This window comes from Homo sapiens, chromosome 5 (genome assembly GCF_000001405.40).
Source record: "Homo sapiens chromosome 5, GRCh38.p14 Primary Assembly".
Classification (NCBI taxonomy): Eukaryota; Metazoa; Chordata; class Mammalia; order Primates; family Hominidae; genus Homo; species Homo sapiens.
In genome coordinates this window covers 60,749,981-60,770,165 of record NC_000005.10, presented here as the reverse complement: position 1 = coordinate 60,770,165, position 20,185 = coordinate 60,749,981, and the positions used below count along the sequence as shown (strand labels likewise).

At 35.3% G+C, this 20,185-nt stretch overlaps 1 protein-coding gene across 8 annotated transcripts in view, besides 1 other annotated feature; it reads left to right on the top strand.

Annotated features, from left to right (window-relative positions):
• ELOVL7 (ELOVL fatty acid elongase 7) overlaps positions 1 to 18,375 on the top strand; it is a 92,479-nt gene extending 74,104 nt beyond the window's left edge. For all 8 annotated transcript variants that reach the window (NM_001104558.2, NM_001297618.2, NM_024930.3 and 5 more), the window contains 5 exons: positions 2,263 to 2,343; positions 3,536 to 3,592; positions 5,834 to 5,939; positions 12,521 to 12,657; positions 15,333 to 18,375. In NM_001104558.2, coding sequence (NP_001098028.1) covers positions 2,263 to 2,343; positions 3,536 to 3,592; positions 5,834 to 5,939; positions 12,521 to 12,657; positions 15,333 to 15,542 — 591 coding nt within the window. In that variant the 3' untranslated portion in view covers positions 15,543 to 18,375. The remainder of the gene's footprint in view (positions 1 to 2,262; positions 2,344 to 3,535; positions 3,593 to 5,833; positions 5,940 to 12,520; positions 12,658 to 15,332) is intronic.
• Positions 271 to 772: an enhancer, noted in NCBI's record as "NANOG hESC enhancer chr5:60065221-60065722 (GRCh37/hg19 assembly coordinates)". NCBI's record gives its function as "activates a minimal SCP1, AML or CMV promoter by ChIP-STARR-seq in primed H9 embryonic stem cells {active_cell/tissue: H9 hESC(primed)}" and the evidence as "EXISTENCE:reporter gene assay evidence [ECO:0000049][PMID:30033119]".
• Positions 18,376 to 20,185: the final 1,810 nt, after the last annotated feature.

The window sequence follows — 20,185 nt, the reverse complement described above, 5'->3', positions numbered from 1 at the left end:
GACTCTCATTTACTGCTAATACTTGAGTTACTTATGTGTCAGTTTCAGGAACTACCTGCCAAATATAAATTATTACTTTCTGAATTCAGGGAATTCTTTTTTTTTTTTTTTTCACCAGAAAGGGTCTCGCTCTGTCACCCAAGCTGGAGTGCAGTGGCACGATCTTGGCTCACTGCAGCCTTGACCTCCCAGGCTCAAGTGATCCTCCCACCTCAGCCTCCCAAGTAGCTGAGACTACAGGCATGCGCCACTATGTCTAGCTAATTTTTTGTATTTTTTGTAGAGATGGTGTTTTGCCATGTTTCCCAGACTGCTCTCAAACTCCTAGACTCTAGTGATCCACCTGCCTGAGCCTCCCAAAGTGCTAGGATTACAGGTGTGACCCACTGGGCCTGGCCTAATTTTTCTTATTACTAGCCTGGAATATAGACATATATGTAAAAAGTTCCACAAGCTGTTGGAATGTTCTTAAACTTTCTACTCTATTTAAACAAAGGCTTTTGATAGCCACACAGCATGCCATCCATCTGTTGATGGCACATCCGAACACATGGTTTATTGTATGGAGTATGATTTCATTTGGTTTACAAAGCAAACACCTCTACCAATGATGTTAGGCCAAATCTGAAGAAGTTGAAAGGGAAGGACATCAGACTCAAGAAACTCAGATGCCTTCTTGTGTAGTGATTGTTTGAAAGTGCTAGTTACTTGGCAGCAGTCAGACACTAGCAGAGACCACTTAAGACCCAACAGAAGGCCAAGTCTCACAACTTTCATTCGACACAGTGCTTGTTTGGGGTAGGGTAAGGTGGAGAATTATTCATCACAATTCCAGTAAATAGCTCCTGGCCACAGAGCGTTACATTAGTCAAAAATGAGTCTGAGCACAAGAGAATATGAGGACACTCACTGACAGTAGGATTTTATAAAACAGAATTAGCCATTTCTATGTCACGTGCCCTTATTCATTTGGCAAAATCTATTGATTTGTTGTTGTTAACTATTTTTCTCATTCGTGAAATATCTTGTGCTTTTCTGAGTCTTAATTTTCAAGATTTTATAACTTACCAAGTTAACAGTGTGATTAAGTTATCTTATAAGTCAAGCTAGAGGCTAGTCTCAGAAAAGAATGTTGCATTTTATAATACTATAGTGTCTAATAATTGTTCTTCTCCTTTGTTTCTTTTCTTTACACAATCAGAATATTATTCTGACAATGCCTCATAAGCTTTTGTTTTTAGAATTTAATTAATTGTAAAGTTCTAATTTTAGCTTTAATAGTAATTAAAACTAGAAATTTAAAATATGGTTCAATGGCAGAAAAGGATATAACCATTATACTGAGAGAGAAGATCTCCCAGGGGGTATTTGGCATGTATGAGAAGAACTGATCATATTGTCAGTGCCCTAAATTAAGCCAACAATTTCATATATGTGTTAAGTTAAAATCAGAGCCCTTGGCTTTTCCTTTTCAGATACTGTTTTAAAAGAAGACCTTCCCACCATCAGACTGAAAGAATGTCAGTATAATCTTTATAATCTTTGAATTACACTTCAGATTTATCAACAATAGGCTCTTTCTTGTCACATCAGCCTTGGATCACTTTGTGGGTGTGTTGGAATTAAGGCCTGCCAGATTGCACTTTTATTGTTAACGAGCATTTTCCTCTTTTACTTGTCTTGTGAATCCACAGTAAAACTATTAATAATATCTGAGCCATGGACTACCACCTCACATCACACTCACCAGCCAATGATGGGAAAAGCCCAGTTGTCGCAGCTATCTTATGAGTACATTGAGGCATTTTGGTTTGCATGTTTAGTTATTGACTAAGTAGAAAGACTGGAAATTGCTAGAAATGACTGATTCAGATCCAAGTGTTCCCTTTAAGAGTACACAAACACATTCACTCACACATACATAGATGAACCTAAGATAAGTCACCTACCAGTATTTGCTGTTTAAGCAAAACACTCCAAGTGTTTTATTCTTCACCATATTAGAATAATCATCCCAAGAGATGAGCATTTTAGTCAGAGCACAGTTTATATAAATAATATATGAGTTTGTGGTTTTGAAAATTCTTGATATCAAGCTTTGATATCAAGCATGTTCATTTTGTATTTGTTCCAGCTACCTTTTCCTCTGCACTGACTATTGACTTAGCTGAAAATGTAATGAAGAGACACTATCAAAACTACCTTTGTTGTGGCTGTTGGGAAAATGCTTTCCTTTCTTAATATGCATGTGCTCTCTTGCAGTTTGTGATGTCTGGCTGGGGTATAGGTTATTCATTTCGATGTGACATTGTTGACTATTCACGGTCACCCACAGCTTTGAGGGTAAGTTTCTCTTTGGAAAAACTTGAAATTCAAAATCAATGTTAAAATTTTGTGAACTGTTTGTAACACTGAACGTAAACTTAGAATAAGCAGATGACTCAGTTATCAGATTGTGTGTGTTGTGGTGGAGAAAGTGAACAATTACAAGAATAAAAAAAATCACATGTATAATTTTCTATAAAATGAAAATTGGTGCTTTTCTTTTTTAATTTCTTGGATTTAAAAATAAATTCACATGTGGTTCCTCAAAAAATTGAAAATAGAATTACCATAAGATCCAGCAATTCTGCTTCTGGGTATATACCTAAAAGAATTGAAAACAGAGACTTGAAGAGATGTTTGTATACTCATGTTTACAGCAGCATTATTTATAACAGCCAAAAGGTAGAAGCAACCCAAGAGTCCATGGATAGATAAATGGATAAACAAGGCCAGGTGCAGTGGCTTACGCTTGTAATCCTAGCGCTTTGGGAGGCTGAGGCGGGTGGATTGCCTGGGCTCAGGAGTTTGAGACCAGCCCGGGCAACACGGTGAAACCCCATCTCTACTAAAATACAAAACTTAGCAGGGCATGGCAGCATGGGCCTGTAGTCCCAGCTACTCGGGAGGGTGAGGCAGGAAAATCGCTTGAACCCAGAAGGTGGAGGTTGCAGTGAACCGAGATTGCACCATTGCACTCCAACCTAGATGACAGAGTGAGACTCCATCTCAAAAAAAGAAAAAGATAAATGGATAAACAAAATGTGGCATATGTATAGAATGGAATATGATTCAGCCTTTAAAAGGAAGGGAATTCTAACTCATGCTACAACAGGGATGAACCCTGAGAACACTATGCTAAGTGAAATAATTAGGTCACAAAAGGACATATACTGCATGATTTGGCTTATATGAGGTGCCTAGCATAGTCAAATTCATAGACACAGAAAGCAGAATTGTAGCTGGGGTTAGAGAGGGAGAATGGGATGTAGTTTAGTGGGTGTAGCTTCAATTTTGCAAGATGAAAAAAGTTCTATGGATGGATGGTGGTAATGGTTGAACAACAGTGTGAAGGTACTTAATGCCACTTAACTGTGCACTAAGAAATGGTTGACATGACAGATTTTATGGTATGCATATTTTACCAAAATTTAAAAATATAAGCTTTTCTTCCATATACAAAATAAATTTAGATTTATTTGTGCTTCTGCAGATGGCACGTACCTGCTGGCTTTATTACTTCTCCAAATTTATTGAGCTATTAGATACGGTGAGTATATGGCCACCACATTTGGTAAATGTTTGATCTTAAATGTTTGATCTTAAATGTTTGATCTTTCAGTGAAACCAATAAACTGCTGTAGTTTCAGTTGTCTGATAACTTTGGTTATTTCTCCTATTCAGGCAGACCTACTGTTATCTTTTTTACCTTTTATTATCAGTAACTTTAGAGAATAGATAGGATAACCTTATTTTTTCAGTATTTTGCAAACTCTATAAAGTTTCTGTTACATAGCTATCAGTTGATTATGATAAGCATGGTGACTGTGTCATATACTCCAAAACTGCATCTTTATATAGATGGATGACAGTTGTTTTATGAATCAAGTTCAGGAAGTAAAAAGCAGAAAACATCTTACCTTTGTTTGTTTGTTTTTTTATCCCAAAGCACAGTCATCCATATTCCTTTAGGAGGATGAATAAACTTTCACGAGAATGTTGCATTACCCCTGGGCTGTCGGTAATTCAGCTGCTTTTCTGAAGTCTGTGCTTACTGGGCCCTATCTCTTCCTACTTCAGATCCTAGTGAGGATCGCCTCTGAACTTGGATGACCGGGTCTTGGGAGAAGCACGTGTCACAAATTAGCGTCTGTGATTTAGAGGAGAAAGCCATGAACCTTTGTTTCCAGAGGAGCTTAGGAAAGCTGAATATTTGTTGTATCTTTGCAGCAAGTGTATCTTAGTTATTTGGAGCTAGTTTTGGCTCAGACTGAAAAGTGTGTTTTCTTTGGAATGCATACCATGATATTTCTTGTAGGAAATCTCAATATGCTTCACCTTTTGAAATGACTAATCACATAATGTTAGAATTGGAAAGGACTTGTGTGAACATACAATCCAGTGGTTCTCGAACTTTAACATGCATTTAGAATCACCTGAGACTTGTTAAAACACAGCTGCCTCGACCCCCACCCCCAGAGTTTCTGATTCACTAGGCCTTGGATGGGGCTCAAAATTTGCATTTCTAACAAGTTCTCAGATGATGCTAATACTTATTGGTCCAGGGACCATGTTTTGAGAGCCTGTATTCTGGTGGTTCCAGCCCACATTGTGCAATAGAATTAATTGCATTAGGGAAAACAACGACGACAAAAACAAGCCCTACCTCCAGAGATTTGGTGCCATATGGTCTGGAACAGAGACCAAGCATAGCTATTTTTAAAAAGCTTCTTGGATATTGTAATATGCATCCAGGGTTGAGAAGCATTAGTCCAGAACCTTCACTCTGAGAAATTGAAGCCAAGGAGTTAAATGACTTACCCAGAGGAATGCTGCTACTAAGTGGGACTAGGACCCAGAGTGTTAGTGTATGGCTTTTTCTGTTGCACCACTCAGCCTTCTTCCATGTGCGTAAGCAAACGCATTTTGCACTTGGAAATGTGCAAAATTTCCATATTCTCAGTTGCTTTGCATGTTCTCAGTTCCAGCTTCCGTAAGGAAACTGCACTGCTTCTGTGTCCTTCCCTAAACTACATTGCTCAAATACTCTTAATACTTTTCTTTGTGCTATTCTGTTTAGTCTTGTATTTAAAAATCTTAACACTCGTATTCTTAATTTCACTTTGGAATATTTTTTGAAAATTTCCCCCTCTCCCAAATTCTACCATTTTGTTGACAGGGTTTTTACAAACCACTGGATAACGTTCACTCTGAGTGTTACCTTCCTTCGCCTTCTCATTTTTTTTCTATGCAGTTTTGCTTTCTTTTCCCTCATATTTCTCAAATTAACTTTTCAACTTTTTCTCCCTTCATTTTTCTTTAATAATAATTTCCTAACTTTTGATTTGTTGCAAGTCCTCTTCGTTTGCCTAATCCCTTATCCATATCAGTAAGATGTATTAGAAAGCAATGTAGAATATTTCAATCATAAGTCTTCTGCTTTCCCATACACTTCAAAATCCAGGGGAATTTTTTTTTATCAATACAATTTCTTTCAATAATTTTGGCCATATTCCTTACTTTATATCTTTGATTTTTAAATCTACATAAAGTTTCTTTTTGCCTTTTTATTGGTGTTTCCATGTATAGGCGTCGTACCTAAGTTACTTCATAATAATTAGATTTGAGCTGCCCCTTGGGGAATTAGCTGCTTCTGTAAGCATTCTATAAGGCAACACTTTTAGAGGAAATTATGATATGAAATACTTTGCACTTTGCCAATATTTTTTATAATACTCAATACACTATCAAATGATTTTCTGTGAACTTGATATTCTTTAAATTATTTCAGATCTTTTTTGTTCTGCGCAAGAAAAATAGCCAAGTGACTTTCCTTCATGTATTCCATCATACCATCATGCCGTGGACCTGGTGGTTTGGAGTCAAATTTGCTGCAGGTAGACAAGGGAAATTTGGGATCATGTGTTATAAACAACATTTCTATATGCTAAAAACAAAATATTTTTCTAAAATGTGATTTATAAGAAACTCAAAAAAATCAAAGAGTCACTTTGTTTATACTTATTTCATTAATTATTACTTGAAAAATAAACATAAGACTCATAATAACTAGGTTTACCCCACTCTTTAGATATACATAACTTCTGGGCACAGCCTTCTACACATATTCTTTAGTTGTTTTGTTTGTATTTTATTCTTTTCCCAGAGAGGTTTATTAAATATCTTTAAATAAATAAATAATAAATAAATCAAATGGTAAAAACTTTGGCTTTATAGGAGTATAGAGAACAATTTCCTGTATGCTCCCAGGAAGTTAGAATGCTTATCTCAAATTCTATGTCTTATTTGCCTTCAAATTTCTAATAGCTGACACACACTCTAACCCCTAATAGCTCTTTAAAGATGTGTCAAATTGTGGTTACCCCAACTTCCTAAAGCATCCTACCATATTAAAGAATGTGTTGATACTGTTTTTAAGGTCCAAAATAGTTTAAATGGAAAGTTTGGAAAACAGGTCGTTTCTTTTTTGTTTTAGGCTTCTGAACATCAAGCATTGGAGAAACCAGAAATAATTTTATCCTATTATACAGTTTTAAATAGGTGATATCCCCAAGGATATATTCTTACCTTAGGAAAATTTGGTTGGGGGATTTATTTGTTCCAGTTTCTTAAATTTTAAAAGTCTTCAAATAGACCTATAGCTGATAACATTTCTGTGAATAGCTTGCCTCTATTGGCCTTTCTAACTCTGCTAGACTAAAAGAAAGGGGGAACCACAATTGAGGAACTCTTGTTTGAGTTCTAGACTCTCTAAACATGGAGGAAAAATATCTACATGTCTCAGAGCATGGGAGGACATGGATAAGCCCGTGTCAGGAAGGGGATGCCAGAACTCAGAGGAGCCACAGGGGCTGTGAATCATGAGTAAACAGCTGTCGCTACCATGGCTTATGGGCATCGGATTTTCCAGGATGTAAAGTACCTCCTTACTCAGAATTGGCATTTATTACTGAAGAATGTTTTTAAGTAAATGTAGCTGCTTTTTCTTATGAGGTTTGTTAGTATAAACCTTTCATTTACATTAAAACAAGATAGTCTCAGTGGTGTCCATTTGTCAAATCAACAGTAACTGTATTAATCTCCATTATTTTACTTATCCTTACTTTCTGTGTTTCTATTTCCCCTTATATGCATATTGTCCCTTCCCATTCTTTCTACAGTGATATACATTGACACTTATTGGTGTTTGTGAAAAACTGGAAAATACCTAAACACTCACTAATAGAGTGGTTATTATTACTTGTGTCTATATGACTGTGAAACAAAAATGATATTCAGATGTATTAAATGTCCTAAAATGAGGATCCTATACACAAAGATTTAACAAAGCTCATCTTCTTTGTTAAGCGTCTTGACTCCTAAATTATCAGAAATAGATGACTATTCTATTTTTAAAGTATGCTAGAAAAGGTGCTTTCACATCCTTATAATTTATTTATTCTGATTTCTCCCATGAGGCCAGGATACACACTGAAAACTAAATGTGAATAGAAGAAAGATTGGAAGGCAATATCCCAAAATATAAACAGAGGTGGTTTGGAGATATTGAAACAAAAAGTGGTTTTTTTCTCCCTCTTTATTTCCGTCCCTTTCTCTATATTTTCTAATTTTTAAATATTGAATATCTGACAGTTCAAGAATGGGAGAAATAAATTTTATTTAATGAATACAATTGAGCATTTTTCTAACTTCTATGTTTGAGTTCATTGATAGTGTAGTTTCCATTTCAAAAGCAAGCAGTGCTTTCAATAATGAGAATTTAAATATGATATACTTCAATTTTTTTTTTTTTTTTTTTTTTTTGAGGCAGAGTTTCACTCTTGTTGTCCAGGGTGGAGTGCAGTGGTGTGATCTCGGCTCACTGCAACCTCCGCTTCCCAGGTTCAAGCGACATACCTCAGTTTTTAAGTGGTACTATGTTTATGGACATCAGTCACTTTATAACGGGTTTCTTGTCCACACCTTAATCCTTCTTCTTCTTTACAAAATGAGAATAGTAGAAGATAGTTTTCTTCTCTCTCATATGTTCCATGCATTGGCACTTCTGTTCAGTCTTACATGTGGAATTCTAGTAAACACTGACTACTCCTACCATCATGACCCCTAGCCATAATATGATTTATCTCCACACTAGCAGAAACTAACCGAGCCCCCTTCGATCTTACAGAAGGAGAATCAGAATTAGTCTCAGGCTTCAATATCGAATATGCCGCAGGCCCATTTGCCCTCTTCTTTATAGCTGAGTATATAAACATTATTATAATAAATGCCCTAACTGCTACAATTTTTCTAGGAGCACTATGCACTATTTATTCACCAGAACTCTATACGATATATTTTACTATTAAAACTGTCCTCCTAACCTCCCTATTTTTATGAATTCAAACAGCATACCCCCAATTCTGCTACGATCAGCTTATATACCTTTTATGAAAAAACTGTCTGCCACTCACACTGGCATTTTTCATATGGTATATTTCAATACCCGTCACAATCTCCAATATTCCCCCCAAACCTAAGAAATATGTCTGATAAAAGAGTTACTTTGATAGAGTAAATAATAGAGGTTTATTCAGCAGACCTGATACCTATTTCAGTGACAAGCACAGCAACAAAAGCTGTTCCCAGAAATGTTGTTTGGCGCTGAGGTCCATTCCTAGAATGAAACTGTCCATTCCAAACTGATTTTTGCAAAAACTTGAGCACAGCTGATCTCTATCTAGTATTTAATTTCCTATTTTTCTGTTGTACTCCTCAATGGGGTAATAGCAATCCAGCTATTCTTTTGAATAGGATGAAGATATTTCTGTGGTAGGTTTTTACATTAATTGTGCATATATCCCCTTCCAGAGATATGGAGAATTGTGATAATTACCCAGGTGATTCCTTTGTTTTTTCCAAAGGAGTAAAATGTGATGGTACTAATCGTAATTCATTCTGAGATGTCTGTTTACAGACCCATTATCATAAAGAAGAAAACAGGCTTAGAAAATATTTTGTTAGGAAAGCCTTCCAAAGAAGATACAAAAAACATTATTAATTAAAATATGGTTGTTTTGTAAATATTAAAATAGCTTGTCAGAAAATAATCATAACTAGAGAAAGTAAACATGTTACTTTTATTTGATAGCTTATTTTGATCAGTAAACCTTACTAAACACTCTTGGCTACACTAGTGCTTTGTTAAATCCCTGTGTCTAAGATCCTCATTTTAGGATATTTAATGGTGAAAATATCCAAATAGAAAATAGGCACTCCTGAAACTGGATCCCTTCCTTACACCTGATACAAAAATTAATTCAAGATGGATTAAAGACTTAAACATTAGATCTAAAACCATGAAAACCCTAGAAGAAAACCTAAGCATTACCATTCAGGACATAGGCATGGGCAAGGACTTCATGTCTACAACACCAAAAGCAATGGCAACAAAAGCCAAAATTGACAAATGGGATGTAATTAAACTAAAGAGCTTCTGCACAGCAAAAGAAACTACCATCAGAGTGAACAGGCGACCTACAAAATGGGAGAAAATATTCACAACCTACCCATCTGACAAAGGGCTAATATCCAGAATCTACAATGAACTCAAACAAATTTACAAGAAGAAAACAAACAACCCCATCAAAAAGTGGGCGAAGGACATGAACAGACACTTCTCAAAAGAAGACATTTATGCAGCCAAAAAACACATGAAAAAATGCTCACCATCACTAGCCATCAGAGAAATGCAAATCAAAACCACAATGAGATACTGTCTCACACCAGTTAGAATGGCAATCATTAAAAGGTCAGGAAACAACAGGTGCTGGAGAGGATGCGAAGAAATAGGAACACTTTCACACTGTTGGTGGGACTGTAAACTAGTTCAACCACTGTGGAAGTCAGTGTGGCGATTCCTCAGGGATCTAGAACTAGAAATACCATTTGACCCAGCCATCCCATTACTGGGTATGTACCCAAAGGACTATAAATCATGCTGCTATAAAGACACATGCACACGTATGTTTATTGCGGCACTATTCACAATAACAAAGACTTGGAACCAACCCAAATGTCCAACAATGATAGACTGGATTAGGAAAATGTGGCACATATATACCATGGAATACTATGCAGCCATAAAAATTGATGAGTTCATGTCCTTTGTAGGGACATGGATGAAATTGGAAATCATCATTCTCAGTAAACTATTGCAAGAACAAAAAACCAAACACCTCATATTCTCACTCATAGGTGGGAATTGAACAATGAGAACACATGGACACAGGAGGGGGAACATCACACTCTGGGGACTGCTGTGGGGTTGGGGGACGGGAGAGGGATAGCATTAGGAGATATACCTAATGCTAAATGACAAGTTAATGGGTGCAGCACACCAGCGTGGCACATGTATACATATGTAACTAACCTGCACATTGTGCACATGTACCCTAAAACTTAAAGTATAATAATAATAAATAAAAAAAACTTTAGACAAATTAAAAAAAAAAAGAAAATAGGCACGCCTCTATTAAATAACAGGAGAGGTGTCTTAGTTAGAAAAGCTCTGACATAGTTCCATATCAAAGGTGAAATAGATGTCCTATGTGTATATTATTATGAAACACAAATGAATTTGAGAGGTATTTGGCTTATCCTCCTTTTAAGCACCTTGACTCCTCAACTATCAGAAGTAGACAACTATTCTATTTTTAAATTAACCTAGAAAAGGTGTTCTTATACCACAATAATGTGTTTATTCAAATTTCCTTTGGGAAAGAAGACCATTCCAAATATAAATAATACAAGCTGGAAAGTTGTTAATACGCTTAATTAATTCAGTTCCTTCTGACTTGAAATTTATGGTAATTGAGGGATTAGCTAAAATATGGCTTTCTCTTGTCAGGAGGAGAAAGTTTATGTAGAACAGTATAGCATAAATGAGGCTTTGGGAGAATACTTAACTGCTTAAAAGTAATTATTTAAAACAGGTTATTTTAACAGAGTACTTCAGCAGTGCTAGTATCTAGAAATATCTAGAATTGCTGCAATTAGGAATAATTATTTAAAAGCAATTTCTACTGTGTAACAGTTTTGTTAGATTTTCTCCAGATCATATTAGAAGTGATGAATTTGTATTTTCCTTTAAACTTTCTGTAATTCATAGTGTTTATGAATTCAGTTCTTCTCCTACCATAATCTAAATTGATGAGGGTTTGCTTTATTTCTAGAATTAAAGAATACTGGAATTAAGAAAATAGAATGTTTTAGAGAAAAATGTAAATTCCAGGTCAACATTACTAAGCTGAGTCAGGCTATACATAAAGAACACATATTCTTCCAGATTGTCGTCTTAGGAAACGGACCCCAGGGAGAGTGTTCCTCCCGCCACACTATCAGCTAAACACCGTTTCCCCTTCTGCTGTATTACTGGTCCAGCTAAAGACAATTGAAATGATTTTTTCTTACATTCCCACGTGTTCTTTGCTTCTATTCTCAATTGAAGGTGATGGGTAGGAAATGTGGCGAAATGAGAAGAAGAAAACCAAAATAGGAAGGCATAATCAATTGGAAGCCGTAAATAAGGATGGTTTCACAGTTAGTAGATATTTACTTTGGGAAAACAATAATTAATTAAATTCAGCAGTTTGCTAGTGAAAGCCAGTGGTTTTACTGCCAAAATTATTTAATGAAGATTATTGAGAGTAGGAAAAGTAAATTTGATTGCACACAATGACATATAAAAAAATATTCTTAGCAGCTTTATTCAGAATAGCCCAAATTGGAAGCAACCCACATGTCTGTCAATAGGAGAATGGGTAATTAGTGATGCGTTTATATGGTATAAACACAGTAGTAAAAACACAAACTACCAATATATGTACCAGGTACAAAAGAGTACATCCTGTGTAATTCCATTTATGTGAAGTTTAATAGCAGACAAAAGTAATAGTTGGTAATAAGAAGTTAGAGTAAAGCTACCTTGGGAGGGGTATATTCTTGGAAGGAGCACATGGGAATCTTATGTGGTGTTGGAAATGTTCTGTATCTTGATCTTGGTAGTGACATGGGTGTATACATACATGAAAAATCATCAAGTTAAGATTAATGTACTTTGTATACTTTTTATATGTTAAACCTCACTACAATATGAACATTATTACTATTATTTAGCAACATATTATATTTAAAAGGTAACTCAACTAAGTGTAAGTAAATTCAAATCATAAGACCACCTTAAGCTAAGATATAACAAAATAAAGATACGCTAATTTACTTTCTCAGGTTCATATCTTATATTTTACTAAATATACTATCCAGCCCCCTCTAATTTGATAGTTGTTTAACAGGATTGATATTTTATATATTTTTTTCCAAAATGCAAGAAATAATTATACAAAAATCTCAGTTCAGATGAAAATGTGGTTCATTTTAAGGAACAATGGCCCCATGTTACAATAATTTTATTTTCCAGGTGGTTTGGGAACATTCCATGCCCTTCTAAATACAGCTGTACATGTAGTCATGTATTCCTACTATGGACTTTCTGCATTGGGGCCAGCCTACCAGAAGTATTTGTGGTGGAAAAAATATTTGACATCATTACAGCTTGTGAGTAATTAATTGTCTTTAAAACCATATATGAAGCAGCTAGAGTCACTTGTTTTCACTGTGAATTAGGATACTGGTTAAATAAAGAAGAAAGACAAAACAATAGGGGTAGAGCGTCTGGCCCCTACATGATATGCCATCATGGTTCTTAATATGTTAGATGAACTTTGGTAACCAAGAGGCTCAGACAGTTAAACAAGCATGTGTATTTTTGTGCCATCTTTATATTATGCATTTATACAAGAATAAATACATTTGTGATTAAGATAACTCCAACGTTATGTGACCCTCAATAGGCATAATACCTATTAGAAATTAGAAATTCCGTTAGATCTAAATGACCTTGAGGGAATGCAACTTTGAGGGAACGATGAGCCTTCCTGTGTGCTTACCTATATAGTCCCAACATTTATAAGTCCATCTTCCCTCCAGTCAATAAAAAGCACTGTGAGAATTAAAAACGTAGAGGGTTAGACCAACATATATGTATTACCTAAATTTGAATACTGCCCTTATATAAGCAATGTTTGAAAGAGCCAGAGGCACTCAGTTTAGACCTAATAATGCATTCTAAGCATTAATTCTCAAAATATATGATATTTAATTTTTTTGGAGACTCATTATGGGTTTGAGATGATGATTTGCTTTACATTTTATTGGTGTCTATTAAAAGGAGAAATCTGCCACCCTTGCATTTCCACATTTGCAGTCTATAATAAATTGATGTCATATTCTGCCAGTAACACCAATGAGAAAGTATGAATTTGGTTTAGATGGCGTGGTGAAGATTAATTTTTTATTAAAATCCTGTAACTTCCTACATGAAATTTGGCACATTCATATAATGTGTTCTTCCAGGTGAGAGGTTGATATTTTAATGGATAAGGATCCTAAATCAAGATCAGAGTATTTCCTTGCAGAGTTATTTGTTGTATTTGAAATTGGCAGCAAACTAAATGACCAATCATAAGGATATGGTAAAATATATTATTTTAATTCATACTTTGAAATACTATGAAGTCATGAAAATTACTCACCATTGCTTCTTTAAAAAATATTATTTTCTCAAAGTAGTATATGCTCATTGCAAATACGTGAGAACACCTAATTAAGCAAAGAGAAAAAAATACATGGAATTCTGCCACCCAGGGATAATCACTGATATTTTTATTTGGTTTTCATCCAGTTTTTCTCTCAGGCATATGTGTACACCTTTTACATTTTTTGTATAGTATTGCATATATAATTTTGTATTTTGTATTTAGGCTTTTTTTTCTCAGCATACTCTTAAATGTACAAACTTTTTAATAACGTGAAAAAATACTGATGTAGAAAGAATAGGATGGACATTTTTTCATCATATTCTCAAATATGTCTATTATACACAAACATACACATGCATAGAATGTTAAGGATATCGTTTAGCCTTCCTAAAGTTTTGTTTTCTCTTTTGGAAAATGAGAGGAATAAGTGGCTATGTTGTGGGAATGTCATAAATATACATTAAGATAATGCAAGGAAAGTTGATGATGACAAGGATAAAATGATAATAAAATAAACTATATGAAAATCTTAACCATGATTTTAACTAGACAGATTGTGAGTAATTGTTGTCTATTTCTTTATAGAGTTTTACTTTTCTAAGATTTCCACAGAACACATATTGCTTTTTAATCAGGGAAAACATGATAACCAGAAAATCTGAATATTAGCCTAGAAAAGGTCCCTCTTGGGACTGTGTAAGATGTTCTGCCCCACAGAGCCCTTGAGCACTACTAGAAGGGCCACCAGTTCTCTCTCACACCTCGTAGATTCTCTGCCTCAGTTGGCAGTTCAGACACTTTTTTTTTTTGAGATGGAATCTCGCTCTGTCACCCAGGCTAGAGTGCAGTGGCACGATCTCGGCTCACTGCAACCTCCGCCTCCCAGGTTCAAGCGATTCTCCTGCCTCAGCCTCCTGAGTAGCTGGGACTACAGGCGCGTACCACTGCGCCCGGCTAATTTTTGTATTTTTAGTAGAGATGGGGTTTCGCTATCTTGACCAGGCTGGTCTCGAACTCCTAACCTCGTGATCCACCCGCCTCAGCCTCCCAAAGTGCTGGGATTACAGGCGTGAGCCACCGTGTCTGGCCTAGACACATTTTTATCTGTGACAGTGGAGGACAAGTGGCAGGTATAAGGACTCCGAGATGCTTTAACTACTAAAAAATTCCAGGGGCTCTAAGTAAAATGTTATTATTTTCCAAAAATTAAAATATCTGGTCCAATAACAGGACAGAATATTTGAAATTGAAATCATACTGAAAAAATAGGCCACATGTAGTGCATGGTCATTTCATCATAGTCAAGGACTCAAGTCAGAGACTGTTAGAGAAAACCTGCTCTGTTGATTCTCTGAGTAGTAAAAAGGTTGCTGCACTGCACAGCTCCAGGGAACATTTAAATATAGACCCTGCGGTTGTGCAATTTTGTGGTTCTGAATAGTGGATCCATACTTCCAACTGGCTTTTGACATTATACCACCCATTATCACTCTCAGGGAGGCTAGATTTAAAGATGGACTTCTTTGCCCAATAGTGCACTCCCTGCACTTTGGGAGTGCATAAACATAGGTAGGTAAAGAATTGTTAACTCTTCATATCTGAATAATTTTTTTTCACGTTTTCATTTCTTAGGTCCAGTTTGTTATTGTCGCCATCCACATAAGCCAGTTCTTTTTCATGGAGGATTGCAAGTATCAGTTTCCAGTCTTTGCGTGCATCATTATGAGTTACAGTTTCATGTTTCTGCTGCTCTTTCTCCATTTTTGGTACCGTGCTTACACCAAAGGTCAGAGGTTGCCCAAAACTGTGAAAAATGGAACTTGCAAAAACAAAGATAATTGAAGCCCAACATAAGTCTATGATCGAAACTGATACATTGTCTTCCTTGACAATCAAGAGATATTTACCTATGCAGTGCATTTTGTATATTTTTCAAAACTAAGAGCTTGTATTTTTATGGTAAGTTATTGGGATGTCTGATATTTGAGAGCCCGAAGCTTCCAGATAACAGTCTTCTGATAATTAGAGCCTACAGCAGCCAGAATTTGTTTTTGTTTTTGTTTTTGTTTTTTTAGCTGCTTTTAAACCTAATCCAAAGGTTTTGTTTAAAACATTTTGTTGCAGTGAAAAAAAGATATGAAGCAATACAGTACTCTTCAAAGAAGTCCAATAAAGATGAAAAATATCATTAGGTATTTTGAGCACAGACGGAGATCCATGTGATAAAATAGATTCCTTCTGCTGGGTCTGGAAAGTCTGGAAACCACCTGTAGGCCCTGGCTTTGTCATTTATTGACTGTATTCAGAAGATACTATATTTGCTCTAGAGTTAACTCCCATTTTAGCAAGCTAGCACAGGTGAAAATTGAGTGAGTTTTTGATAACTTGTCATTTAAAATCATTAATGATAATTTTCAATGGATCTTTTCAGTAGCCATCACCAGTTTTGCTGATAAGACTTCCTCACAACCCATTTGTTGTACAAACTGTTTCAAAGTAGCAATCCTTTGGGTTAGTACACTTGATACCAAGTTTCATTCAGTTGATTATTTTCAAAACAAGGTGATTTGTTTTAATGGGTTAATGAATACTTTGCTATTACTGTTTTACAATTAACTTTGTATATCTCTGGAAAGAGGTGAATTTGTCAATGAAAAAAGTATTGTGTAGTTCAGTGGGAAAAACCTGTTGTCTGTTATAGTATCACATCACTTTCTTACATTGTCATGGTTTAAATTATTATCTTGGTGAAATATATAGGTTAGATACTTAAATGTTCATATTATTAGCACACTACAGGTACTACCCTTAAATCATAAATAATATTACCCATTGTACACAGTTTCCAGATATGAGTTAGAGTGGCTGTGAAGCAACTAGAGGCAAATTGTGGCACAGAGAATATCCAGGGGAAAATTGATTATGTAAGCAAGGGCTGTTCTACTTTGAGAGAGAGACAGACAGACTACATAATAGTAATATATTATATAATTAATGTTATAGATACACTGAACAATAAAACATTTTCTGGAATTATGAATTAATTAACAACCTGGATTTCTGTTTCCAGACCTATAAACCATGTAATGAAGGACTGAAATTCGTTTGGCATACACTTTGTTTCTTTAAAATTGCTAGTTTCTTTCTGTTATTTTTACATTTTCTTGTCAGAGAATCAAAACTATTAGTCAGTAGAGTTTTGTCCATGAAATAATATTTGGACATTTGTGAATTTTTCCCTATTTTTTTTCTTCTTTTATTTATACTCAATTTTGAAGCACTGTTTATGTTTGTAGGACTTTAAACAATTAGTACTTAAAGCCCCAGTTAATTTTGAACACACAGAGATACTTATTGTACTCTGTGTACAGTAAGTATTTTTATGTTTACACTTACCAGATTCATAAGGTTATTTGCCTTTAAGTGATCTTTTGTGATTTTACTTGATTACAGCATGAGAAGGTAAAGGTTGATAAATGGGAGTAATTACATATATATATATAATTTATTATTTTTTTTTCTGAAGCAGAGTTTTACTCTTGTTGCCCAGGCTAGAGTGCAATGGCACAATCTCGGTTCACTGCAACCTCTGCCTCCCAGGTTCAAGTGATTCTCCTGTCTCAGCCTCCCAAGTAGCTGGGATTACAGGTGCCCGCCACCATGCTCAGCTAATTTTTGTATTTTTAGTAGAGACAGGGTTGGCCAGGCTGGTCTCGAGCTCCTGACCTCAGGTGATCCTCCCACCTCGGCCTCCCAAAGTTCTGGGATTACAGGGGTGAGCCACTGTGCCCGGCCATAATTTTATATTTTTAGAAAATAAAGAATGAAGGACAAAAGAGCACAGCTAAATGAAACTGCTGCTCTAATTTATTCCACTGGAAAGGTCTCAGGACTCCTTAACTGTTTTCCAGGTTTGGCTCTTCATATCTAACCTGTGCTAAAATGAGAAGGTATGCTAGGTGCTGTTAGAAATCACACCATTTCCAAAGAACCCAAGTAGTATAGAGACCAAAATGAGGCAAAAATAAAAGAGATGAAACAGGAGAGTTTATTTCTTGCATACTTTCCGACCTTCATCATACAACCTCTCCTAACCTCCCTGTAGTCTTTAAAATGTTTAACTTGCCTATAAGCTAACATGTAATAAAACACATACTCAATTATATGAATAGAAGTGGAGAGCCAGAATGCTACAAAAGAAATCACAGCTGCTAGAAGTATCCTCCATAGAAACATCAACATGATTGTGGATCAAAATGATTTTCACTGGATATGGAATTTGTATGGGCCATATTTATTAAAAGAGTTCTGTGTGGTCACATAGAGTTCCTTTGGGATTTCATCCCACTTTTCAGGACTTAATTTGTTTGGGTTTGCTTACCTAACAAGCAACAACAACAACAAAATAAATAGTTCCAAAATCTAGTTTATTACATAAATCTCTATGAATCCTTGAGGGCCTATATCTATATTATAAATAAATACAAATATAGATTTTTAAATATCTATGGGACTTTGCCATTTACAGCCTTAAGTATAAAATTACGAGATTATATTCTTTCCATTACCCTTTATTTCTGCTAACTTTTTAAAGACTGGAACATTCTGTGGATGTTGTCAAAGTTTGAGTTTGTTTTTCCCTGTGTATTATAATAAATTTGTGGTATTGCATGTATACGTGTGTATATTTTTCATTTTGGAATCTAGCTGCATGTATTTGCATGGGTTGGTGACTTTTAATTTGAATACTCACCAATCAAAGTTATTTTACATATTTCTTGTATACGTGCTGTGTTCATCTTTGGGATACAAAGATACTTAGAACATAATTGGGATCTCCTGGAGCTTACCAACTGGCAGATGAAATTATGTGACAGGGCAGTAGATGATAGGTGCCAGATGAGTGACAGTTCTGCCACTTAGCAGACAGGGAAGACTCTATGAAGGAATTTGAATTTGAGTTATGTGTTTAGGTTGTACAGAATTTCAAAATTGGTGGTATGTTAGTAGGCAAGGTTTTTTAAGTGGAAAGAATTAACAAAAAAGAATATTTTGCCATCCCCACTGTCTCTAATAAATGGGACTAGCTAATGATCACTGGTTGCTAAAACAATTAGATGAAAGGTTGATGGGGATGGCTTGTGCTGATATGACTGAACCCAGTGATCAATCTTAATATCATTCAAAGTGGGACAACCAGATGTTTTGTCTCATAATACACTATAATACTCTGAGGTATTCGTGGCAAAAAAATTTTTGAACTTGAATCTAATAAATCCTCTGTATCTAAACTACTAGTTACAGGAAATACAATATATAAGAGTTAAAAGACACAAAAAGGATACCATCAGCCAAGTCCAAAATGTAGGAAATTCCATAGAACAAATGACCTGGTTTCTTCAATAAATAAATGACATTAAAAAAAAAAAAAGAAAACCAGAGAAGGCAACTTTTGTAGATGAAAGACTTAAGATATACTAACCAAATGTCATTTGAATCCTGATTTGAACAAACCAAATCATAAAAGGACATTCTTATAACAATCAGATATAACTGAACATGAACTAAATTTTAAAAGACAAACTATTAATATTAGATATTATTACTGTATTGCAGATGTATATATTTTAAAGTCCTTATATGTGAGATACATACACTGAAGTATGTATATGTAAAATGATAGGTTGTCTGATTTCGTTTTAACATACTCTAGTAAAAAGAAAAGGGGGTGTTGATAATTGTTAAAGTTGGGTAATGGGTTCACTTAATAAGAGTTTATTATACTCTTCTGTCTACGTTTGTGTATGTTTGAAATTGTCCAGTTTTTAAAAAGCAATGTATGTATTATAATGTTCTGTATAGATGTTATTTAAGTTAGGAACCAAAATGACAGAATTGACATGATTTTCACTGGTAGTCAGTCAGTATTGAGGGTGCTTACTGCATCTAAGTGTCATGAGAAACTTTAAAATGTACTGGATGTGGTCCCTGCCCTTAAAAAATTTACAGTACAGTTTAAAAAGACAGGCCTACATCAAATTTTAATAAAAACAAAAGTGGCATACCTGTTGACAAGTGAAAAGTGTATTACAGATTTGCAATATATATTATCCTAAAATTAAGTAGTTACCTTTGATGAAACAAAATATAATGTTCACCAGGACCCACTGAAGATGTTTGATGGAGGAGTAACATGATCAGCCTGGTTATGAGAGCCTCTGGAAAAGAATCCCTTCCATGGAGCCCGAGGCTCCCTGTCACCAGCATTTTCCAGTATTTCCTTCTTGTAGGAAGCAGTTGGGTGTAATAGACTGTAGTTATTGTCTGTCATTCCAAAGCATCATGCCATGTAGCTAAGTACTCTGGGGAAGGGCAGGGATACAGAGAAAATCTGCATATACCATATACCACCAGGGAAGAAGATGTCTTTGTATGCCTTCTTGGGTACCAAATACAATAGAGTCTAGGTCTGTTTCCTTCTAAAG